The sequence below is a fragment of the Homo sapiens genome, chromosome 13 (assembly GCF_000001405.40).
Source record: "Homo sapiens chromosome 13, GRCh38.p14 Primary Assembly".
In the NCBI taxonomy this organism is placed as follows: domain Eukaryota; kingdom Metazoa; phylum Chordata; class Mammalia; order Primates; family Hominidae; genus Homo; species Homo sapiens.
Window position 1 is genome coordinate 67,201,015 of NC_000013.11, and position 27,667 is coordinate 67,228,681.

At 33.9% G+C, this 27,667-nt stretch overlaps 1 protein-coding gene across 10 annotated transcripts in view; it reads right to left on the reverse strand.

Annotated features, from left to right (window-relative positions):
• PCDH9 (protocadherin 9) overlaps positions 1–27,667 on the reverse strand; it is a 927,503-nt gene that overhangs the window by 898,181 nt on the left and 1,655 nt on the right. For 7 of the 10 annotated variants that reach the window (XM_017020619.3, NM_001318373.2, NM_020403.5 and 4 more), the window contains exon 2: positions 24,391–27,561. In XM_017020619.3, coding sequence (XP_016876108.1) covers positions 24,391–27,426 — 3,036 coding nt within the window. In that variant the 5' untranslated portion in view covers positions 27,427–27,561. Of the gene's footprint in view, positions 27,562–27,667 lie in introns of all 10 variants that reach the window. The other 3 variants (XM_017020621.3, XM_005266408.5, NM_001318374.2) reach the window with 2 other exon arrangements.

Genomic DNA, 27,667 nt, shown 5'->3' on the forward strand with positions numbered 1-27,667 from the left:
TACAAAACAATTTCTGAAACTTTATTGTGAATTTTAAGGTACATTTAGTAAAGAATGTTATCCTTAATATAATTAATTAAAAATAAATTGGAAAGAAATGCACATACTACTTTTTTAAAGCAAGAATAAGTACAGACTTTTGAAGCCACAATATATACAATTTTATGAGTGCAATAAGCTTTCAAATACATTAGGTATATATCCGTTTAAATAAATAGTAGAATACTTGATTTGACATATGTGATAGTCATACTGATTACACCAAAAATGTTTTACAAAATATAGCCAAAAATGGAACGTTATACATTTTGATATACAACTCTTTAAATACTTTATATATTCATTACTTACTTCAAATTATAGTGTACAAAAGTCCATTTTAATGAGGACAAGTTTTAATTGTGTGTTTACCACTGTTGAGCAAATATAGGTATTAAGATGCATCCCTGTATGTTACTTAAATTCCCATTCAACTTAAATCATTTATCACAGGGAGGAAAGAATTCTACCAATTTTTAACAGTAATAATTTTTATTGATAAATTATCCATATAACATATTTCAACATTATTTTGGCTATTTAAAATTTTCTAAAATGTATCACCTAGTTCTTGAGCCAATTTTTTGTGTAATTAAAACTTAATTTGAAATCAAAATAGAAATATATTGCTACATTGAACTTCTTACCTGCTCTGCAACATACATAATTTAAATACCTTTAATTATCAATTTTCAATTGGGAAAATTTCCCCTATAATTCTTTAATAATAATGCTTTGTGTAGTGCCTAAGTATCTCAAGAATTCATTTCACAAAGTACCAATTTAATATACTGTACTGTAAGTGTTACCTATAGAATAGTATTATAAGAAAATGTGATTTCAAGGGTTTTACATTTATTATTATTCATACATTATAGTACAACAAGTGAGATCGTTTTCAGCCACATTCAATTATTTTTTGCACATAGTTACACATGGCGATTTATTTGGGGTATGTAAAAATGTGGCTATTTTTCAGAAATAAAATGGAATATAAATTATCAAGTTTTTTTTTTAAATGGAAACAATACTGTTATTTTCTATAGGATCCTTTAAAAAGTGAAAGCAAGGAAACACAAACACACATACCAACCTATCTTGGTGTGGTGAGGTGAGGAGAAGGACCATTCAACCATCATCTCCTAAAAATTTCTTAGGCAATAATGATTGAAAAAATGTACTTTGCACTTAAATAATGAGCAATAGGGTTATCTGGCTCTGTCTACAAAAATTACCTGGTAACATTAGAAGATGATTATAGAATTACATATTATTATTGTTATGTTTCACATCTGGACCACAAAAGCAATATGAGAAAACCTATTATAATGTGAACTGAAGTTGCATTTTTATATTTTTTAATAGAATATTAGAATATTACCACATCTAAGAGCACATCTAATAACAATAAAGACAACTTAAATTCTCCTAAACCTCCCCAGTACCAACTGCCCACTGTTTTAATGGAGCAGCACCACATGTCAAGCACCCAGTCAATCTCTATAACTCACCAAGTTGCCTCTTATTGGTCAGAATGAAAAGCATATACACCTTCTGCAAGAAGTCAGGCGGCATGAGGGAGGCTGAGTAGAGGACACATACAAATGCAGATTTATCTATTTTTAGTGAGGGGCATAAAACTGTAAAACAGGGGTTTTGCATGGAGTAAGCATGGCACCTTATTTTTCAGTCAGAGAGAAATGCCATCAGAGCTATTCACATTCAATTTATGAGAGGAAGAAATGGACTGATGTATAAGTGAGGGTGTTCATTTTGTCCATATTTGCATCAGGGTTGTATGTGTGTGTGCTGTGTGTATGTGAATATGTGAGTGTCTTGGTATATTTCCAAGGTAATAAAGAGATTAAATATAATTCAGGTAACACGTGATTGCCAAAGAGGATCTTATTTCTTGCCCTGCGAAATGAACAGGAGTTAATGAAGCAAATCTCTAGGTTGTTTTGATACAGGGTTTTAAGACCTTGATGGTAGCAAAGCAGTAATTCCTTTAACTGTAAAGTATGTACACATTTACACTAAATAAGACATAGCAGTCTTTTGACCATTCTCTCACAATGTTAGAAACTACATAATAAGAACTTCAAATATCCTTTAATTCTTTCTTAATTTTTGAAATTAGATAAATATAAACAAGCTTTCATAAGCTGCAATTATTCTTAAATTGGCTAACAAATTTATTGAAAGCTTAAAGACAATCATTTAATTTTATCTGCATCTTGAACTCCTTCATTATGGTTAATAGACTTTGTAATTCTGTTTTAATGCTGTCCTGTATATAAAAAAACTCTTTTACAATCACCTTAAATACAGCATACTTAAGTTGCTGATATCTCTCTTTTCCAAATAATCATCTTAAATTTGGCATACTCTTGACCCTTTTGGCTTTAAAATCACTATTTCAAGAGGTAACAAAAAAAACTATGCTTTAAAAAATATTGTAATTTACTAGAATACCATTGCCTAAGTGAGCTGGGTCTGTAAAGGTGATACCAAATAAGTCATTTTAATATTGCTGTAGTTTACTTTTGCTAATTCTTGCATAGCTTTTAAACACATTTTGTGGTTAAAGGATAAAATGCATGCAATTAAAGAAAAGAAGTCTACCTCTTCCAATGAATAGATATGAGAAAATCACATTGTAAAAATCTAAAGATTAAAACTCCTATCACAAATTATGTATAAATATGTGTAAGAGCTTACCAAATTAAAGTCTAAGAACAGAAATTTTATTAAAGCACCTTTATGGAAATAATCAATTTGCAATAATGACAGTCAAGTTTTCAGATAACTTGGAAAAAAACCGCCACAGTCTTAGTAGTAGAAAATGTTGCCATAAATATGATATGATAGGTAAACTTTGTAGAAGAGAAAAAAATAAATAGTAGGCATTAGGGCAGCTCAATATATTGGGGTTAAAAAATCTTATTAAAACTTCAAAAAGACATGGAAAAAATATTTTCCCCTCAGAGATATTTCATAAAGCAAAATGAGTATGATTACATATAAGGCTGGTTATGTATATTTATTTTTGCATCTAATCTGTTTTTCTTATTGTGGATACACACTAAGCACAATTTTTCTCTAAACAGTTTTAAGAGATAAAAGTGGCCACAATTTTTGGATAAAATCATACACTGCACACAGTACTGGCTTACTCAGTTGAATAACTCCTCCTTATTTGTGAAAAATGATGTATATATTTGATGAGAAAAATTATTATGCCAGCTTTAGTTAGATAGTTGTTTTCCATTTCTCTTTTCAATCATTTTCTTGAAATTCTAAAGGTGCAAAGTCTAGGAGCTGATGCCCATTTGCCTTGTCTACTACATCACCTCAGAAAAATCATTACAGAATTTTCACTTCACTTGTGTAATGTTGTCCAGTTCCATTAATCCTCTCATGTCATTCCTCAACTGCCTAGAATTGATGTATATTAATCCATAATTGTGGAGGTAGAAAACAAGTGCATGCTGAAAAGCTTCTGCTTTCCTTAAGGCAGAAATTTCCAATGCTCAGACTATTTAATTTGGCTCTTGTAATGTCCATTTGGATCCAGTCTGCCTGCCTGTCACAATCACAACCAATAGGCATAATGTCACTACAAATTATCACCAACATCCAGAATGTCAATGCAAAATTAATTTTCTTTTTCACAAAACCTTGAATGTTAGTCCCTGGATAAAGGAAAACCCCAGCTATACTTTAAGTCATCTAGAAAGCTAATTCAACACATCACGTTAGGCCACTGTATTCATGTCTGTATGACACAGTTTGGTTTTCAAATCCCAACTGGGAATTCTATCAGAAGACTGTAAACCTATAGTGAAACCAAAACAATTTGGCACTCTTCCATGAAAATCTGCTAAAAAGAGATTACTTAAAGTGTTGGCTTTTATGTTTGGTCTAATTAAATATGAGTTCCATTGAAAAGAGTATCTATTAAAAAATGCTTCTCTAAACATGACTCTTTAAACAAATGTACAGATAAAAACTTCCTCATATCCTCACCACAAATTGATGCCTATCTTTGCATATGCCATGAGCTAAAAGTAAACCTGCCTGCATGTCTTTGAGTTCATGTCTAAGAATTATGCGTTTCCAATATATTATCTTATATTTTAACAAAGGAAACCCTGCTGTTCTAGTTTATTGACAAATTAACAGGTGAATTTAACTTTCTCACATCAATGATCTATCTAAAATAGTCCCTTCCCAATTTCTCATTGTCTGGTGAACAACATAAACTCCACCTTCAGTCAACATGTTGAATACTGCTTTTTAATTAGAGTAATTGAAATATTTCTGCTTACTATACTTATCAGTAAGGGACTTCAAGAAAAAGCTGCTGCCTGAAAATAGCTCTCAAACCAAGCTTTGGAAAATAACTGAGTTCTCGCAATAAAAATGCAAGGTTCAGAATTCTAAGTGTTTGTAATTGAAAGTCAGTCTGCTTGTCTCATATCAAGAAACTCCTTTTGAACACATAAATCTTTTTTATTTTCTAGGGATATTACGGAATGTGTGTTCTAAATAAGAACTGTACTCATGAAAGTGATTCCATCATCCATATGCACTACACATAGTGGACAAAAAGGGTAGCATATCATTCCGAGAATCAATTTCCTTTGCCAAACACAATATGGAAAGCTGTGCATCCATAACTCTCTATTTCATTTTAACCTTTAAATGGACCTCCAATTACAACTGTAAAATTCTCACCTAGACATTTTATCAATATACGTCCATTATAATAATCCATGATAAACAAATTTAATTTTACTATATAACTGAAATGGCTCTCTCCAGTTCTCAGGTTTAAGGGGAATCTTGAGAATTCAACACGCGGTTGATGAATTTTATTTTTATTTATGTACTTATTTATGTTTTAGACAGGGTCTTGCTCTAGTGCCAAGGCGTCACCACGCCTGGATATTTTTTGTATTTTTTGTAGAGATGGGGTCTCGCTATGTTGTCTAGGCAGCTCTCAAACTCCTGAACTCAAGTGATCCATCCGCCTCGGCCTCACAAAGTGCTGGGATTAAAGGTGTAAGCCACCACACTGGCATTTACAAAATACTGTTAAAGTTTTTTTTTTTGTTTGCTTGTTTTGAGACAGAGTCTCACTCTGTTGCCCAGGCTGGAGTGCAGTGGCATGATCTCGGCTCACTGCAAGCTCTGCCTCCTGGATTCAAGCGATTCTTCTGCCTCAGTCTCCCGAGTAGCTGGGACTACAGGCGCGCACCACCACGCCCAACTAATTTTTGTATTTTTAGTAGAGACAGGGTTTCACCATATTGGCCAGGCTGGTCTCGAACTCCTGAGCTCATGATCTGCCCGCCTCCCAAAGAGCTGGGATTACAAGCGTGAGCCACCACGCCCGGCTGATACTGTTAAAGTCTTAAACAAGGAAGATATTAAGCAGCCCGTAATATGGTATATTTGTAAAACTGTAGAAAATAACTGAATAATTTTGTAGCTGTGGGTGATGAAAGTGGAAAACCTACTCTAGGAAAATGCTAAAATTGTATAAATAGTATTAAAATAACTTATATGCATGTTTCTAAATAGATATGAAGATATATTCTCCCAGTGCATTGCAGATAAGTTGGAGGAGGGCCTATACTGATCTTAGCTGGCAAATTTGTGCAGAGATGCCTGGTGGTTGCTTCTGAACCATTCAGGCACAGGGGCTGGAATAAAGATTTAAAAAGAAAGGAAAGCATCATTCCAGTCAAGTAGTCTAGGACTGAGATACACTTGTTATCATTAGAGTTTGACTTTCCCCTCTTCTAGATCTTTTCTTATCTGATATGAGGCATTGTATAAAATAAGAATAATCACAAAACTCTGCTTTGAGATGAGCAAATTTATTTAAATTAACAACTAAAATTCACGTTTGTGAAAAATATCTCGAATCGTACTGCCTAAAAGATACAAATGCTAATTTCTACTTTTCACATATACTGTCTGTGAATGTTCATTGTAAACTGTAAAGTATCTCCCCATGTCTCAGGAATAGTTCTGTCATAATGCTATGTGCTCAGTGGCAAAATTTGTATAATAATGAAGCAAAAAAAAAAAAAAGGTTAAATTAGACTTCGGTGATTTTTTTTTTAACCTTTAAAAAAAGGTTAAAATGGCCAAATTTCTTTTTGGCAAAATTTACTTTTGCTGACTAACTACAAGTTTATGTTTTGTATAAAAGTTCCATGATAGAGACAGTATTAATTAGCAGCTAAGAGAGCGCAGTGTCTAAGACTGCTAGGGTTGGAACCGTAAACTATTCTCCCCTGACTAGAACTGTGACCTGAAGCAAATCATTCAACTTCTCCTCAGCTGTAAAATACGGACAATAATAACAGTATCCTCCTCAGAAAGTAGTTGGTTCTATTTGAATTAATACATGTAAAGTGCTGAGAGGAACTTCACGCACATGGAGTACTTAATAAATATCAGTTATTATCATTAGCTGGTGTTTGACATCTACTTTCAAGGCATTGCAAACTGTGTTTCTAGAAATCAAAAGATAATGGTACCAAGGTGAATGCTGTGATCTTCTCTTTACAAAGCCTCAAATATCTTCCACTTTTCCTGTGAAATTGTTAGCTATTTAGCTGAAATTAACTGTGGATTATTTTGGCCAGTTAGTTTTACATATGTTTAAAATCATGTTCACATTTCTAGTAATAAAGCTATGACTAATCATGTCAATGCGATCAATAATTAGTTTCAATGCCAATAGCAAACCATTGAGATTAATGAATTGATTACTTTTTATTATTAGCTTTTTCCCTATATAGACTACTCTAATACTACAAAGGTTATGTAACATTGCTTTTGTTCCAATTCCTAATGAATTTATTCTTTTTTGAGGCAAAATATTGGGAAGCACAGTCTATACCAGTTTATTAATCTACAAGCATCCAATTCCAAATCAGATTCCAGTAACACCATCTCTTTGTACTTTTACAATACAGAACTGATTCGATTAATCAAATAGCTGTAATTCACACTGTATTGTCCCTGGAATGCTCACTCTGACAATGCTCTATGAACTCACAGAATTTTCTTTATCTGTCCATCTTCTAACCTTGCCAGATACTGCTAATATTTCATCAATCAATTAATGCCCTAAATAGCTAATGTGTGTCTTATGCAAAAATCCTTGCGTGTTCATTTGACACAAACTATTTTTTTGTTTTACTTTCATATTCCTTAAAATTTCCTGTCAGAGGCATTATCAACATTAAAAAATTGGTGGGCTTTATTTTTAGTAGCCTCCAAATGACCATATATTTGTTGGATGAATACTTAGAAAGCATATCATGTTCAGAGAGCCATATGGTTATTCCCCAATGACATATTAATGTCACTTAGTATTAATAATATTTATGTCACTTTTTTCCTATATGTGCAAAATCTCCATAATAAACAATTTTGACCAAAAATTAGATTCTCACAATTTTTGATTAGGAAACAATTAGGCTGATATAGGCAGTGATTAAAACATTTGGCACTACAGAAAAGTATTTCTCATATTTTCTTTACTGCTATAAGTAAATTTACTACTGTCACTAGAAATAAGAAAGAATTGGCTGAAAAAAAATGTAAGTACATTTGCTGTTGGTCATGTTTGAATATGACAGAAAAGCAGCAGGAGCTGCCAATACAGAAGGCTTTACCAGAACATACATCTTTGATACGAGTAGTTGGAGGAATATCCATAGAAAAAAGCAAAGGGCTTGGGATACACAATCTGTATTTAGAACAGCACCATGTTTGCTGCCACTGTTTGTGATGTTGACATTGCCACCTTTCTGATTTTATGGTGAAGTTGGTCATTACAGACAACAGAACACTGATGATTACTAAACAAACTTTATTTAAACGTTACTTTAGGTGAAATTTTAGATTGTGTAAGTATTATATATCTTTCCTACCTCTCAGTATTGGCTACAACATCTGCTCTTCTATTAGGGAAACACTCATACCTTCCCCTGAAAAACACTGGAGTATTGTTCTGAAAGCCAACACAATGTATTACAAGAGCAGAATTGACTGAATTCCCAGTACTTGAGTCCTGCAACTAAGCCATTACACAGAATGCCTCACCTTAGCACCACATACTTCCGATGTCATTGGCGCACTTGGAAGACCATAACATAAGAAGAACAATTCCTTAAGAATGTATATTCTTTCTGTGATTTGTTTACCACATTTATATTTTAACCCCTCTTCAAATTGGAAGTGTTTAGAACATTTTAAGGAAGGCATTCAGGGTGTGAGCATTAAAGAGACTGCTTAATATGATTAAAAAGTGTCTTGCATCCAAAATGTGGCATTTCTGGAACTATTTAATACATCTCCTCCATCGATGTCAATTTTCCAAACTTACAAAGTGACTCCTAGACCGATCCATCTACAGTGTAAAATAGTCTCTTTACCATATCTCTATCAAAAACACCAAAAGAATTTGGTCTTCCTAAACTTGTTAGAAGATGAAAGGGTACAATGCAGTAAGTAGTAGTAAATGCAAGCAAATTGAGTTATTAGACGAGTAAGTATTCCTAAGCTGCTGTTCAAGATTCAGAACCATCCTGTGGGTTCTTATTTCTGCAGTGTTGTGAAGAAAATGTGTTAGACTCATTGATGGCAAAACCGTTTTATTTTATTTCCATGTAACCAAATAACACCGGTTTTTTTTAACATTAATGTGGTATTTCATCTAATTAATGTGGTATTTCATCTAATTTGCAGTTTGGTTTTTCTAATCCTAAAGCTGATTTTCCTCCAGCATGAGACTGACAAGTTCTTCAATTTAACATCACTTTTACTTTGAATGAAGAAACTGCCTATAAAATCAGTGGGCACCATTTGATTAAATTTGCTTTTCTAACACTTGTCCTGATAACTAACATTATCAGTCAAAATTACCACTGTTTGATATTTTTATTACATTTACACATTATTGCAAAACTATGTGTAATTCTCCAACATTAACAAAAGTTGAAATATGCTAAAGTCACCTTAATGTGTTACTATAGACAATAAAATCAAACATTATAAGAGTAATATTACTGATAAAAATATGGCAGCTACATAATGATTTTAAGTTCATGGTTTTCCAATCAAATAATAAATGCCAACAATCTGCTCAAGGTTTTGTAGTTCTGTTTTTTGATTTCTAATTCAAGAGAAAAAAGTTAATTTTCTAGTTCAGAAGGGGAAAATTAATCACAGAGCAACCTCAAAAAAGATAGAGGCAATACTGTGTTATCAACACTAATGCAAGAGAGTGATAACATAGATCATACAAACAATGGGAATATTGCAAATCATTCATTGTCAGGAGAGACTGAACCATGTGATTTATTTTGTAATTGTTTTTCTTGAGCCAATGTTAACACTGATGTGCACTATTTGAACATATATCAACTGATAATAGAAAGAAGTAGGCCAGATGGATGTTGGGTGGCAAGAGAAAACCTGCCAAGGAGTAATGTTTCCCTAAGTAATTAACAAAAGCTGTAGTTCAATTTTTAATAATAGAAATAAAAAAATGGTTGAGTCCAATTATCTAATTTTCAGAGGAGAAAACTGAATTCTCAAGATGCTAAGTGTAATTCTAGCAAAGTATAAATGGTTTTGAATAGACATTATTGTAGCCAAAAAGAGAGAAAATAATGTATTCTACACTTTTTAAAATGGGAAAATTTAAGTACTGATTTTAATAACCACTACTGTTTTATTTTATGTGGTAATACATTGCATAGTCACTTATAAAAATCAGAATAAGCAAGGAATTGAAACTACGTAAAAACACCAAGTTAATTGTCACTGTGAAAAGTGGTGAGAATGCCACATTTTTGATTTTATTTAGAAATTGGTTACTACAGACAGAGCAACTATCATGTGACTTCTATACCAACCTTTATTTAAATGTCTGTATCTTCCTAAGCTTAATATATCCTGTTGCTTGGTTCTAAATTAGTTTACCAAACTGTTCATATTTTCATAGTATTAAGAAGTGATTTACATATAGTTTTTTGGTTGGTCATATCAACCCAATAATAATTTCTAAATTAATTTTAACCAATAATATTTAATTAACAAGTGTTAATACACATTTGATTCCTGAGGTCTACATATTTTAGCAGGTTTCAATTTCGTAGTTCATTTAAATTATAGTAATTACTTGGTGATAGTTGCCTAAGCCTAAGCATCCACAGAACAGTTGGAAAGATCCTTTTAGATTTAGGCACCAGCTTGATGGTTATCACAGAAGTCTAATTGCAATTAAAATAGTATGTTTTCTGGCAATAAAGATTTATCTCCTAAAATATGTTTGTACAAGAATGTGCAGGTGAGGCATTATATGCATTATTTTTTAAAATACAAATTTTTGGCTTAAATAAAAATTTGAAATTTGGGGATGACCTTCCTATATAAACATTTATCCATATGTAAGTTAGTGTTTTAGAAATAATTGAGTTAAAAAAACATAGTCTGTCTTGGCTGTAATAGCCGAATTATGACATTTTCTTCGATGATGAAAGAAAACTAAATTTTCAGGATATGTATGTTTCTCAATTTAGGAAAACATATATATATAAAATAAAGGTCTCTTGTTTTCAACGTTTATATCATTGCATTGGTTCCTTGAAGTACTGTGATAAATATTCATAAGAAAATGGACTTGATAAAATCAGAACCATCTGGAGGCAGAAGCCAATTAAACCAAACATTTATTCCAGCCAGAATTTAATATCTATGTTCCATATCTGTGGTAAACATGTCCTTTCAACGTACGAAGGCTAAAACATTTTTTCAAAATATCATGACTTGAAACAGCCCTTTTCAAAATGGATGTCTCTACAAGTGAAATTCCATTTTTAGAGAACCACTGTCTACTTTAGCTTGGGTTATCATTCAACATTATTCATGTGTGCCATGTTTTTAAAGTAATTTTTAATATAGCAAATATGCTAATCTCATCTAGTAAAAAAATGAAGTTTTACTTGCTACTATATTTTATTAACACCTTTGCCTGTAGAAGGAGTGTGATTTTAAGAATGAAAAAGTACATTTCCCTCCAAATTAACCAAAGGATAAATTTAAACCTGGCATTCTTATAATTAGAGTAATAGATCTTAGAATCTTATTACCCCATTGAAAGATCAAGTCTCCAGCAGTAGTTAAAAAAAATGTGAGAGAGAGAGACTTTAAAAAATATATTTCAGGGAAATGATGACATCTATTTAAAATTGAGAGTGAACTCATATTTTTTTTAATAAGGAAATTCCAAGGGAAAAAAGTACTGTGCTTAAAATTTAATGGAATATTTTAAACCAAAGACAATTTTTTTTATCTTAAAAAAAATTTCCTATTGTCTAATGCTGTTCCTGGATCACAGCAGTTATTTATTAGATGTGTGTTGAATAACAGAATTAATACAAAATTTAAAAAGCCTAGCTGTGTATCTGTCCGTGGATCATATGACAAGGTCTTTGGCAGCAGAAAATTTCACAGCTAAATGTCAGATACTTTTGAAAGCATGAAAATTTAAAACTATAGAATATAATTCTGGAATAAGCATTGGTATCCATTAGGGAAAATAGAATATCGTTCAGTAGTCTAGTGATAAGTTTGGATATCATCTCATTGTTAGACTTACCTCCAAATAAGTGCTCAGCAGGCAGAAAAAGTTCTTCAGGGAACCCATTCACATAGGGAAAGATGTGAAAGGTACAGTCCAGGAAATATAAATGTCTTCATAGAATAAGTAATTGTTCATTATCTGAACTGGAATTTACATGGACTTTCTAGGACAGTTACCTCTCCATTATAAAAGCTAATAGAAGGCGCGGTGGCTCACCCCTGTAATCTCAGCACTTTGGGAGGCCGAGGCGGGCAGATCACGAGGTCAGGAGATCGAGACCATCCTGGCTAACACGATGAAACCCCATCTCTACTAAAAATATAAAAAATTAGCCGGGTGTGGTGGCGGGCGCCTGTAGTCCCAGCTACTTGGGAGGCTGAGGCAGGAGAATGGCTTGAACCCGGGAGGCGGAGCTTGCAGTGAGCCAAGATCACACCACTGCACTCCAGCCTGGACGACAGAGACTCCGTCACAAAAAAAAAAAAAAAAAAAAAAAAAAAAAAAAGAAAAAAAAAAGCTAATAGAGGAAACGACTGATATGAAAAACATAAAATGGTAGCCTTTTGAATATACATTTAGCAGTATATAATAAATATATCGCTTCATACAGTATACATGTATACATACTTGATGCCATGAGAATGCTAAATATTTCAAATAAAACAATGAATCCAAATCCTTAAAGCCTGATTTTAACCATTTAAAATGTGTTTAACATTTTGCCTGATTAGGTCCATGTCTGCCTATGTGGTGGGATTAAATAGAATTTACCAAACATGTACTATATGCCATGCTACAATCCTTGTAATAACCCTAAGAGGTCTGATATTCAAGATAATATCCACACTATGTCCCTGCCCTGTTTGGTATCCCAATGCTATAAAATGGATATCACATCTTAGCATAAAACAAGCAGAAGCCTAAAGAAAATCACACCAGTTTTCCAGGTTTTATGTGTTAGATTAAGCTTTCTAAGCACAAAGAATGAGTATTTTAATTTTAAGTTTGTTTTGTTTTAAATTCTTGTCTTATGAAACTGTCTTCTTATATAAAACTAGAACTAAACTAAAAGACCAATCCAAAACAATTGTATTGCACTGAGAGGGTGGTTAAGTTCAACAAGAAGTTACATATTTAATTTATTCAATCAAAATCACAACAAAGCCAATTGAAATTTGACTATATCTACTTCTTATTTAGTTGATAAAGTTAATTGAACTAGTAACAAATCTCCACTACATTCTGCTCTAAATACAAATCAGTAACTTTATCGTGATGGTTTCAGCTGTTCCAACAAAAGGAAATGATTTTGGCCCCAGGATATTATCAAAAGGTATTTTTGGGGTACTACCGTAGTGTGTAATATTTTTATTTGTTGTGTCTCATTTATGTTATTATGTCACTCACATACTCAAACATTACAAACTTGTATATTGAGACATGAAAAACTTACTTATAAAATGAATATAAGTTAAATTAAGAAAAATAGTAAAAGCTGTTGGTGATTATGCTTCTACCATGAATTCAATCAATCTCAGAAATATGATCCATATACTTTGAGGCATTTTAGCTGGTTTGATTACACCATGGATGCCATTACTTCAACAGGGATGCTTTCCAGTCTATGGAATAATTGGAAGCAAGAACCAGCAGGTTTCAAATGATTCCAGCTGTGTTAAGTACTGACTGTGAAACAGATTCTCTCTTATATGTGATTTTGTAATAGGAGTGATGGATACGGTGAAAATTCCCAGATGGGTGGAGCTTCTGGGTAATCTATGGGGACGTAAATTCATTACAAACACTAAAAGGAACAGAATAATTTTAAAACATGACATGCAAATGAAATAGGTAAAATACTCAAAATGAAAGACGAAGCAATTATACAAATGTGAAACAACAGGGATTAAGATAAAAAACAACATCAAATATGCTATATTGAGATACTGTTATGAAGATCAATTTTCCAAAAGTCCTAAATAATCTGAAACCAGATAGTGTTTTAACACAAAAGCAGATGAACACAGGTGAGTCGTGAAAAAGATACAATAGAAATCAGATTCAAGAAAACAACCAAAAACAAAATCAAGAAAGCATTCACTAAATGAATGTGCAAACATCTGTCAATGGCAAGCTGGTATTCTTGGACAGGAGGTAGAAAAACAGGTAACATTTTCTGAGTGTCTGGCTATTGCGAGCCAGATATATATATATATATATATATATATATATATATATATTCACTTAATCTTAGGACAACTTTATATGGATTTGGCATGATTACACCCATTTTGCAGACAAGGAAAGCAAGGACTAGTGCATTTAAATGATGTGCCCAGTATCACAGTCTTTATGTAGTAGTTCATCAAGTCAGTTTTTGTTACTCCAAATATCAAATTAGTTCTCTAGTCTCCATTTCTTCAGTCAGAAAAAGAATTAAATAGGCCAAATAATCCCAAAGGTGCATTGGAAACTTGAGAATGTGTAACTATTCTATAAGTTCTATTAGACACCAAGTTTATCTTTCTAAAATTAATATAGTTGCTAGACACTGCATTAATCACTATTCAGTTATTATTTTGCTTCTTTTTATAGAATTTATACTTGATTCTGGCATACTGTCTGGATGGCTCAAAAGTCTATTAAGAAAACTTTAATGTGATACGGTATTTTTCTTACAAACACGTATCTCTATCAAGCACCTATGAAAGTACATATATTGATCATTATGTTTAGAAGTAATAAATCAATGATCTAAGTACTGAAAGGTTTAAATAAAAGGTTGGGGTGAAGAGGCTTGGAAGTGAAGGAATTTGATCCTGTTTGTTTAGCTCACCTCTTGCCTTCTCATTATTTCCTAATATGAAAAACCATGATATGATGGGCAGACATAATGATATGTCCAAAATTACTGAGAAAATGGGACCCACAGACATCTCTAAGTGATGGAAGAATATATTTTGAACATAAATGATGTCTTTCTTGAATGATTGTTGTAAAGATTAAATCAGTGGAAAATCTTATATATATAAAATAAAATTTCAAGATCACTGATCTTCAGGTTGCATCAAAATTTACTGAATGCCTACTAAGTTCACTCTTTTCAGCACTGTTGTGGGTTCAGTGTTAGAAATACAAAGGTAAGTAAGACACAGTCTCTTACTTTGAGGAACTTTCTTATATTCTCTAAGATTTTCATACTTTAAGTAGTGGCATACCAGTATTTGGATTTACTGAGTTGCCATTTGAGACCAAAAGATCATCAGGAACCAGGGCCATGTGAGGAACAATCCTGAAATACGCCTGGGTTCACACAGTATCAGCTGGAGAGGATGCACAGTCCCTGCAAATAACAGATGGTCCTGCAAGAATAGTTTAAACCCTGAGGAGTGTTGCTCCCAGTATCATACAGAAGTCAATAACCCTTAGCTAAAGCAGAATTTAATTGTCTAAAACAGAGACTTTAGGTGTCAAGAAGCTTTTACTTAATTATTATCATGCTTAAAAATCAATCAATGAATTCAACATATTTTGCTACCACTGCATGGCAGAAAATCTTGCCATTTAAGACCAAGAATGAAAATGAGTTTATGTCATACTAAAATATCCTAAAAATTGTGTCAATTTTTACTATGGTGTAATACAATTTTGATACCTATTTAAGTTTTAAGGCAAAAAATGATGATTTTGTATAAATTCTACCATCTCTTTTATGTTGGAAATTTGAATGGGTTGAGAATGCATTGAAATATTATTACTCTATATACCTAAATCTAACATTATTCCTTAACTTGGAAAAAGGCATCAGTAAGAAAAACTCAATACAAAAAATAGCAAAGGAAAATATATTATCTGAGACCATAAGTCAGAATAAATATGAATTTACTATTTCTAGCAAGAAAGGACACATCATAGATTTTATTTCACACTTTGTGGTTGTCTTAAGCAACATATATATATATATATATATATATGGATATATATACGGAAAAGATTATGCAGAAATAATATTACATCACTTTAAAATCCATCAAGAAACTAAGAAATCAGATGTATTAACAACATACATGAATATAGTCCACCTAGTGAATGACAAGAAATGGAGCAAAGAAAAGTAGCCAGTCCAGGTGTGTTCCCAGCTGACACACAGAAGGAAGGCTATTGTGATTCTAGACATCCAATGTGAAAATCGGTTCAATGACATGAATATATGACACAGGAGGGCATCAACTCACAACTCAGAACTCACTCCATTTTGTCTCCATTTGTCATTTGCACCTTCTACAAAAAGTTTCCTGCCGAATCCTATGTAGCTGTGTATTTGAAAGTCCTCAGCATGCAGCTGCTATCACACAGAGGCACAGATTGGTTGCATCCACCGAATCCAAAAAACCACCAGTATTTTTCTTTCCAGAAAATGTCTACTATAGAACTACTACTGTCAGCAGAAGACATTCTCCTTCTATAAAAGATACAGCTTCATTTCATAACTGCTTCTGTGTTTCCGTTCTTTTCTTTATTGAGGTTTGTTTAATGAGGAAAAAAAAAAACCTAATTCACTGAATTGCAGTTGCTATTGTCTTGCACAAAAACTGTTTTCTTTTCTAAATCAATCATCTATTATGACTCTCACAGGCCCCTGTGCCTACTGTGGGCTGCATATGGATTACACACTTTTTCTAATAGGTGAAAATATAGGATTTATAAAATCATTTTAAAATATGCATGGCTATTTGCTCCAATTTATATCTAACAGGGCTAGTCAAAGACATTAAGTATTAAAGAACTGCAAGGGATTTTACTGAACATTGTCATGAAGCTAAATATATTGAAATCCATGTATGTCTAGAACAAAATGCTGTGCTACAAATACACACCATATTTACAAATGCAGCAAAGATGAATTCTAAAAATACAGTTTGAGAAATGATTCAATAGTAATTCCTATGAGGATGGAAGCATTCACTTGGTACCCAGGCCTCTTCATTATGGTAATGCTATATAGTCTTATAGACACCTGGGGTGTTAATCTGATTTAGGTTCAGAAGAGAGTCTGCATACACAATTGAGAGTTTCTTCTTAGGAGAAATGAAGGCCAGATCATGGGCATCAGAGATACCACAAGGAAGTACAAACAAGCCTGCATCATCTATCTTGAATAATTAGAATCATCCAACAGCAAATCAGTCCATTGTAAGGCATGTATTTGAGATTTTTATTCTTTCAGTCACATCCAGTGTTTCTGCATTTGGAAAAAATAGGCAAGACTAATTCCCTAGGCTATAAATCACTCTAATGTGGAGGGAAATGTGTTAGCTAGTTGTATTACAAAGCCTTTACTTCATATTTAATAGGCACCTGCAATACCAGCATTATACAAAGCTCTCTACTTTGCAAATCTTTAAAACCCCACTTAATTTTCAGCACTGATTTCCTGCAATCTAAGAGCTTATGAAGGGTTCACTGTGTTCATACAGATCTATGCAAAATGTGCCAGAGCTTCCCTGTCTGTGATGGCATTCATCTGGAGGTGAATCCCAAATTTCTATCACTGGCATGCTTATTTCCGACTAAAATAAATATTCTCAGAATGAAAGCTGAAGATTAAGAGGACAAAAAAGGAGGCAAAGTAACTAGCACTGGGAGAGATATATGCAAATATCAGCTCAATGACAATTCTTCATACCGTTTACAATAGAAGCTTAAAGATCCAAATAGTCTGCAATCCATTAGCTCCTCAATATCCTGAAAGGGATTAGAGTGTTTCTTAATCAACTGCTAACAGGCTGAAAAAGGCCCAGAGAGTGGTTATTAACAAAGCAGTGTAATACTCAAATGCAGAGATGGTTGGATAGAGAGACAAACTATAGAAGAATGTTAAAATACAAGATATTACACAAACATGATAAAATTGACCACATTTCCATTCTTTCCTACAGCCCACACAATTAAATATCCACATAAATTACTAAGTGGTGAAGCTGTACGTAGCAGGCTCCTTTCAAGAACAGGTAAGTTCATTTCATATATTTTCTCAAGGATCCAGAATAATTAGTATAAAATGATAGAATCAATCAAATATTCCTCAAAGACCTTGACTGTGCTTCTATCTTTGCCATTCTTAGCTGTACAGGTGGTCTCAAGCCCATCATTTAAAACGTGATATGTGCTTATGGCACTCTAATCAATCAAACTGTAAAAGATCAAGGGAAAATATTTTCATATGCCATTTAAATAATGAATAAATATGTAAAAACAGATCCCTAATGAATGACTTTGAGTTCTGCATTTCTTATATTTATATGCTATGCCTCAGAAAATTCTACTGATTCTGCCACTATTCTTGTCTATCAGAGACAAACTGTCTATAGGACAAAAATATGAATGAGAAAGATTAAATATGGGTTGTTTTTCCAGTTTATTTCTGTATCACTCTTTACTGTTAAAAAAGGACAGTTGTTTAACTTATTTAGGAATTTGAAAATTTAATGAGTCTTGGCTTACAGAAGAAAAGAATATAAATCAAAAGCAAAATGTCAATCATGGTAATAAATCTTTTTTGTTCTATGTTTCTGGTGACTGACAGCCCAATAGGTTTGTATCAAACAAAGGCAAAAAGCATGTGTTCCTTTCTAAATGAAATGTTTGACAGATTTGACAGTTTTCTTAAATAACAACCAATGAAATCTTAAAAACAGAGTACATCTCCTTATGTACATGAGAGATCCTATTTTTACATTTGTCTTTACTTCTGTAGTATAATGTAGATTTGGGGGTCGCTGACTATGTCAAAGTCTATAAGACATTAGCATTATTACTTACGAAAGAGTCTGACTTTTATGCCTCCATGAAACTTTAGAATAAGCCTCTTCCTGACTTGCATTTCCAAATTTTCACTAATACCTGGCCTGTGATTAGAGTCATATTTTAATAAATCTGATATAATGGTTAGGGTCCTTATATGTAATAAATTGTGGAAAAAATATTAAATGTGAAGTTGAGTGTCAGAAAGGCCAAACCTTTAAAAATCTGCATTAACTAATTTGTACTTTCCAACTCAGTGAAATATATAAGATATTAAATGATTTACTAATATTAAGAGAGTAATTTCTAGTTATAATAAAGAATTATCTTCAAGAAAACACCAAACTAAATTCAAAGAAAGATTGCACCAAGGATTTTAAGTCAAAGTAGTAAACAATCCACTGGATTTCCAGTTTTGTTATGTTTTTAACTATATACAAGCTAAGAGTTCACCTTTAACAAAGTCAAACTGAGAAGTATTGTAAAAGAGCAATACAGACATCTGACTTGGCCCTGAAACCCTGTAAACACCCAGACTGGTATAGTGGGACCAAGGCTACAACTGTAACGTTCAGCATTTGGTGGATTTCTGAATTCCCCCAACCGAAAAAAAAAAATTAGAAATAAAAACAATCTAAATAAGACAACAAAAATTGTTGTGGAAATAAGATTACAGAAAACAAAATGATTTAAAGGTGTCATTTTCATACTTCAGTACTGTAGTGTAAAATTAGTAATATGAAAAAGGATGCGTTACAATGCCATATCTAATAATATAAGTATAATTTATAGATATTTTACACACATCAATATGAAAATGAAACCTTAAGGTTCAATATAAATCATAGTTAATTATGAGAAAATTTGATTTTAGATTTGAGGCTTTTCCTTAAATCTAAATTCCCTCTACTTTACTATTTCACATATTTTAATTTAATGTATGAAATCATAAGAAGATAAATGATAGCTTGCAATTATTTAAATAATAAGAATATGTTTACACCATAAGAATGTAACATGTTATTACAAGTACAATATTTTCAAAGTAATTTCAATGACACCAAAGCCTGCCCTGTCTCACCATAGGATGACTGGTCTGAAACTAAGGAGAACATTAATGTTCCTTGTTTCTATATCTTGAATTAATGGCAACAAAAACAAATAATAAGAGAATAGAATATTGTCACCACATATACTATTTTCTCTACGTTAACAAATATTCAAGAATCAACAGACATGTCTATGTTTAATACAATAGTAACTTTTCATTTTTATTCTGCTTAATGTTATTAGCAATGGAAGGCCAAAATGCGTCTTGAATTTTATAGCTTAGGAATATCAAGATGGAAAGAAAAATAGTCAAATATTTATCTTACAAACCCAAATGGAAAGATAGCCAGTTTGAATGGGTGGCCTATCCTCATTTCAAAAATCTGTGTTAATATCCAAGGGCTCTGGGTATCTTCTACCTCATAAGTATGAAAACTGACTTCATGACCATAGGGCACTTAGCCAAAGAGCCATAGAAATAAAAATCACAACCGATAACATTTTAAAAACAATTTGCATTTGGGGGATCAGTTGTCACCTGTGTTCAACTGTCACTATATATATCTATTCCAGAATTTAATAATTGAAAATATCTTAAAGATTTTGGTTAGCCTCACATTAGTTAACATTTGCCCCCTTCACTTTCAATTGCATTTTTTCCCTAGCTGTTCTAAATATCAATTCTGTGACTGCCTTCCGCATTTTACATAACATAATAACATTTCAGTAGTGGTTGTAGTAGATTATTCAAAAATGAAAAGTAATCATAAATGTAATATAGTATCTCTAAATGGTTTGGAATAGAAGAAATTCCCTTTACACTGTAAAAATACATGTATACACTTAAGTACAGCACGCATACACATTTTCAGTGTATACATTCCTCAATATATAGAAAAATATATGTGAGTAAATACTCTAGATTGTGAAAAGTCAGGATGTTTAAAGCTCTAAAATGAGTATTTCCTTTAGAAAATTAAATGACAGTTTACCCAGAACCAATGTCTAGTGCAACTCTTACAGACTGTTTTACTACTTGAAGAAGTTGTCAAATGTAAATGGGTGACTATTTCTTTTACTTTAACATTTTCATTTATCTTCCCTCTTCCCACCCCCAAAAAACCACACAGGGGCCAAGAAATTAATTCCCTAAATGCTGTCAACTGGGTTGGGAAACAGCAATAAACAGCTTACTGTAAAGCCTCCAGCTACAATAAAACAGCTGTCAATAAGTGGGCTGAGAGTTGGGCTGTGCAAAAACAGGTTCTCTGGATATGATAATACGAGAGGGAAAGAGGCTGACACTTCCTGTTTCAATATGCTAAGGTAGTGGTTCTCAAAGTGTGGGCCCTGGACTAGCAGCATCAGTACCACCTAGGAACTTGTTAGCAATGTATATTTTCAGTCCTGACCTCAGTGGTACGAAATCAGAGCCTCTGGGGTAGAACCCAACAATCCATGTTTTAAGTAGTGCTCCAAATGATTCCCAGACATTCCACAGGGAGAATCAGTATCATATTTTAAAACAATATCTGTCAACAAGACCATTTTTCTTTTAGGCAAATATACCAATGAATTTTATCATTTAAAGCCTTGTTGGAATGGATAATGTTGTCGTTTTCATCCTCTTCACCTTTTGGCTGTAAACTTTGTTGTTTTTTTTTTTTTTACAAATAATTACCGAGACATGACCTTTTGCCAAAAAAAAAAAAGTAAATTCTTAACCTATAAAGGCTAATCGCACTTCCAAAAATTTGTAAGAAATAATCTGTGAAAAATTTAGTGACACATGAAAGCTTTATAAAATAGAGTGAATGAGGAATATGATTTACAGTGTTTCCTATGTTCTTTGCAGGTTAACACAAGGGAAAACAGCAAGGGGAAAAATATCAGACAATATAGGAATTGATGTACCACAAACAAATTCATGATGAAAACATCAGACGTTATGTTTTCGTTATACATACAGTATAAATGAGTGAAATTTAAGTTTGGTAAGCTTTTAACCAAGAATCTTGCATTTTACCCACATATCAATTAATAGCATAAAATGAAAAGATGGTGTGAGCAATAGTCGTCACACAACTAAAATCTTCACAGATTGTATTTTTTTAAATAAATTCCTTTGAAAGTTTTTGTAGCAAGAAATGTTACTCTTTCAAAATTGTGTAGCTTCAGGAGCACATTTTATATAAAAGCCACTAGTTAAAAAAGTTTTTACTTTTTAGCTTAACTAGAACATCTGCAGATAGCAATCATACAGTTCAGTGAAAACAAATTTTTAAAGAGTAGTATATATTTGATGTCGTTCATTCATAGGAAATATGCTTCTTTTATCCAAAAAAATGTACATATTACTTTGTATATCACTACCACTTCTCCACCGACTTCTATCTCTTTTCTCCAACATCACACTATTTCTTTTTCAGCATGAAAACTTTTAAAAGGTGTAAGCAAAGCCATTTTAATAGCTCTTTATCATAAGAGTGAATTACCTAGTTCCATATGAACATTGGAATACCCATAGGAGAACTGCAAAGTGACACATGGTCACAAGAAATTTCTAAAACGCACTTTAGTTCCAGTTAGAGAATTACTCAGTATCCTATTTGAAAGATTACATCATACAAAGACTTTTATGACTGACTAAGCCTCAAGAAAAGATCTCTTGCATACTTTGCTGAAATGCACTTAACATTTATGTCACTACACTATATATAGGTTCAACTTTTGGGGAGGTCAGAAAAAGTGGATCTATACATCAATGCTAATATCACCACGTATAGACAGAAAAAAAGATGATGCTGGAAGTATATCAGTACATTTCTTTGGAAAGAAAATGTCAGATTTTACATGAAAAAGTTTAAGTCATATTAGTTTCTCAACATAATTATGCATATCATAAAATACCATGTGTATTGTGAGTAACCATAACAGAAGTAAATAATTTAAAAAATTTTCTTTCTGTTCATTAAGAGCAACTTTTTAATCAAACTCATTTAGTTTCATAAATTACTTTTCTTATCATAGTTAACTATTTAACTTTTAAAAACCTTTACTAAGACTGAACATTTTTTAAATTTTAAAACATCAACCTCTTTTCAAATACTAACAAAGTTAACACAAAAATTAAGTCGTTCTAACTTTGACTTATATGTAATAATCTCATAGTCTCCTTTAAAATTCTATACTGATTAAAGTCCTTTCTTCCTGTGTATTTAAGCTGTAAATATTTGTACTTTTAAAACGCTCTACTGTTTAATATTTTACTTTAAGAATGGAGATTTTAGTTGTATGGTAATATGTATTATACTTGATGTTCTGGGAGTATCTGTATGACTCATTGTCAAAATTACTCTTATAAATATTTTATTACCATGAAGCCTTAAGTCCTTCCAGAGCAATAAATGATAGTTGGTAAGGGGGAAACTGTTTCAATAAAACATCCTACTTCACCCCACCCTCAGAAAATAAAAACTCTTGATTCTCCAAAGACTAATCAATGATAACTGTTGATACTGTTCTGCAAACTAATTTTGCTTTACTTGATTTTCTAAAATCTATGTGTTCCTTATTTATAAACAAGTACAGATGGGCCATCACCATAGGTGAACTCCATATCGACAAAGACAGAACTAGCATTACGAAATCCTAGAAAGTTGGTGTGCTGAGAGCTAATCACAAAAGAGCAAGCGAATGAACTTAAATGCTAGTTGCTCCAGAGCAACTATCATTAAATAAAAGGTATCTTTGGCTGTACTACCAGCTTGATCCTTCCCTCCCCCTTCTCCTTGCTACTGCGGGATTGGCACCTGGCCAGCACAAGCGACATGATACCCTAGTGCCATCTACAGGCTATTATCGATATTCAAATTTTGTGGCAACAGACAAGCACCAGTGAAATAAATTAGACAGCGCTGCATTTAAATCTTTATTAACAAGGAATTATTAGACCTAAGAAAAACTAATTCTGGATTTGGTTGAAATATGAGTTTCTCAGCCTCTTAATCCCTCTTCATATGGCATATTTCACAGTTTAAAATGAGTTATGACAGATCACTTATGCATTACTAAGATGAGAGAATATTTACAATGGATTCATTCTTTTCTTTTTAAATCAGTTATATTAGGCAGCAAGCATTCTTTTTTTTTTTTTTTTTGAAAGAGTATTTGGCCACTGCGGACACTAAAAATCTTTCTATTAAGTACCGAATTTAATATATTACAATAAAATAATTTGAAATCAAAGAGAAGACTTCCTATATGGCTTAGTTGCAATCTATCAACGATCATGTGCTTCACAGCTGATGTACATTTAATATTCTACTATCCTGTTTAGAGACTAAAAAAAAAATTAACCCCTTTAGCAACCATAGCTGCAACATAATTGCAGTCACACCTTCAAAAGTCATTGAAAACTTGAGATTTGAAGGTGACTTTTTAGATCAAAAGGTAAGGTGAAAGTCTTGAAGCAGTCAATTTGGAAACCCCCAGGAGCAGAATTTGGCATATCAGGACAGGTTTTTTCTTCTTCAGCAAACATTATCTTGGGACATTTTGGAATAATTTTCTCTTTTCATCTTTTGCCATTTGAAGGAAACTGAAAGGAGAAAATATTCTCAGAACTCAGAAATTTCAAAGCTGTTCTAAAAATTCTTGACTGAGCCCCAGAGGAATAGAAAAGGGGTCAAGTTTTTTTTTACCTCTTTCTAACTAAGCTAAAGTTAGACCAAAACAATAGACATACTGGCACGTTAATACTGGTTGACTGGGCACTTGTATGCAGTACTTATAGACCAGTAAAAGTGCTCGTTTACCTGTCTGGTGTGTAAGGGGCCCTTTGTCTTGAAGCCTCCTTGGGAACTGCACTCTGAGGCACTGAAGTGATCTGAACTAGTGGAAGAGCGTTTAGAAAGGGTGTCACAACCCCCAACAAAGGTGTTGTCCAAAGGGAGTTCCTGAATCACGTGGTGCTTTTTCACGGAAACTGGAGTGTCTGGTTTGAGATGAAAAGCAGGCTGTGGAGAAGCAGATTTGTAGTGCTTGGCCAGGTCAGGACTGTTAGGCTTGAATGTTGTTGGAGGTGCCGGGCCCCAGTCAAATCTTCCTATACTTTGCTCCTCCAGTTCAGCCGGCAGGCTTATTGTCCCATTGATAGGTTCATGAACTGCATCATCGGGTTTGGACTCTTCGATAGTAACAAAGTTCAAAAGAGAGCTTTTGGGAGACTTCCTTTTCTTTCTTTTCTTTTTCTTGTTTTGCTTGTTCTCCTGGTTTGGGGACATCCATTCGGCACCTTGCTTGCTCCTCTGAGCTGCTTTGAACCTTGATGCATGGCGACAGCGCACCAGAACGGTGACGAAGATCACAACAATGACCACCATGGCACCGGCGATGATGGCAATCATGATGGTTAGATAGTCCTCATTTTGATAGGGTTGGCTACTATCCCCTATGTTCCTGTCCAACGGGGTCTCCATAGTCCTGCGGATCAAGTCATAGATATAGGAGGCATTTCCAGCAGTGTCGTTAACATAAAGGAATACAAGCACAAGCGTGTGCAAAGACTTAGGGTACCCCAGGTCACTTATGTTGACCACCAAACGATGCAATCCCACATCAGTAGGTGCTGGTTTTTCTTCCAGAGTAATGTTACCTGTTACTGGATCAATCCGGAATAAGCCTTTATTGTTTCCACTCACTATAGTATACTTTAGTTCAGCGTTCATTCCAGTGTCAACATCCACTGCAAAAACTTCTGCTACCACGGAGCCAGGAATGGCTGAGAGGGGCACCAACTTAAAGGAAGTATTAGACGGTGGAGAAATGACAACTGGGCTGTTGTCATTGACATCCATGACGTTGATAGTTACTTTTGCAGTAGAGGAACGAGGTGGTTGTCCTCCATCAGTGGCTTTGACATCAAAAGTGTAGGAACTCTGCTGCTCTCTATCAAATGAGACATTTGACTTTATGACTCCAGAATAGGGATCCAACACAAAATTATCATTGTCATTTAGAATGGAAAGAGTCACAGCTTTATTCTCTCCAGCATCTGCATCTGTCACTGTGATTACCCCCACAGTACTATACTTTGGCAGATTCTCAGACACAAAAAATTGAAAATGATTATGAGTAAACTTGGGGCTATTGTCATTCTCATCCAGAACAGTAACAATCACAGCCGCTTGGCTTTGGAGGGGAGGGGTCCCATTGTCCCTGGCAGTTACTGTAAAAATGAATCGTTCTTGTTCTTCTCTGTCAAATACTCTGGAGGCTGTCAAAACTCCTGTTTTTCGGTCCAGATCAAAGAAGGAGGCATTCGGTCCAAGCTGATAAACAATGTCTGCATTTTTCCCACTGTCTTCATCTGTGGCACTAATAGTTGTTAAGTATAACCCACGTCGGTTGTTTTCAGAAACTGACAGCTCAATTACAGGCTGGTTGAAAATTGGTGGGTTGTCATTTTCATCCTCAAGCTTAACCCTTACCAGGGCAGTCTGATTTAAACTGGGCTTCCCAGAATCAGAGGCAACAATTTTAAAGCTGAATTCTTTGGTGCCCTCATAGTCCAACAAAGAAGAGGTCTCTAACAAATATTGGTTGTCATATACCGCCTTCAAATGAAATGGGACCTCTCTTTCAATAAAACAGATCACTTTGCCATTCACATCTGTGTCCTTATCTGAAACTGTAATTAGGGCAATCTTTGTATTGACAGGATCTTTCTCAGATAAATACACGGTGCCATTGATGGGACTTATAATGTACCTGAGGTCTATATTAGGAGGGTTATCATTTACATCGGTGACATTGATGGTAACCGTTGCTCGAGCAGGAGTGGAGCTGCCGTCACTAGCCAGCACTGTCACTTTGTGAATGGCTGTCTCCTCTCTATCTAAGGACCTCTGAACTGTAATCAGCCCAGTAGTATTATTTAAAGCAAAGAGTCTTTTGGTTGCAGGGGCGACCTGGGCACCAAAAATGTACCGGATTTCAGCATTACTGCCTATATCTGCATCAGTGGCATGGAGCTGAATTACAGAGGTACCTACGGGAGCATTCTCTGGAATATGCACCTCCACTTGACCCTCTTTAAACACTGGCCTGTTGTCATTTACATCACTTACTGTGACCTGCAGTATGGCCGTACTGGATTTCTGTGGAGTGCCTCCATCCTCTACTTTGATTTTCATCACATAGGTATCTTTCTGTTCTCTATCCAAGTTTTGCTGAACAATCAGTTGTGGCCACTTCTCTCCCTCTGGAGTTTCCACGATATCCAGTCCAAAAACACTCTGCCCATTTAACAATTCATAATGCTGTACACCATTGAAGCCTGTGTCAGGATCTGTTGCTGATGGAATTGGAAAGCGGCTGTTGATCAAAGTGTTTTCTGGAATGGAAATATTGATGACAGGAGATGGAAACATGGGGGCATTATCATTGGTATCCTTGACAATTATTTTTATTTTGATCAGCCTGAAGAAATCATTGGGGAGGATCACCACCTCAAGTTCAAAGAAACACTCATTCTCCTCAGCATATGAGGCGCCAGCACAGAGTTTTTCTCTGTCTATTCTGTTGGAGGTTGTGAAAATTTCCCCAGTGCTGCTGGAAACTTTCACCAAAGGGGCATCCCCAGCTTTAGAAACCAGTCTGTAGACAAGGCTGGCGCTGGTCCCTGTGGCAGCATTGATGTGAGAAATGTTCAGATCCTTTGGTATGTTTCCTATGGGCACATTTTCAGGCAATTCCTCTCTAATAGTGTAAATAAGTTCTTGAGCTATTGCGGAATCCAGCCTTAAACAGGCAATCAGAGCAGCCAACAGGTAAAAATCCCTCAGGTCCATGATAATGTATTTATTTTCTTTTCCTGGATTTTAGGGTTTAAAGGTTTCCACTGAGGAATGATGCACAAATTGCAAGAGGAAGCGTGCATGGACTGGAGGATGCATTATATCTCATCACTTATTTGGAGACAGCCGCTGTCAACACAATTGTATAGACAATATTATTCTTCAGTAAATAAAAACACACCGTCACAAAATATCACCACACATTTTCCCCTGAACATTAGTAAACATGGCAGTT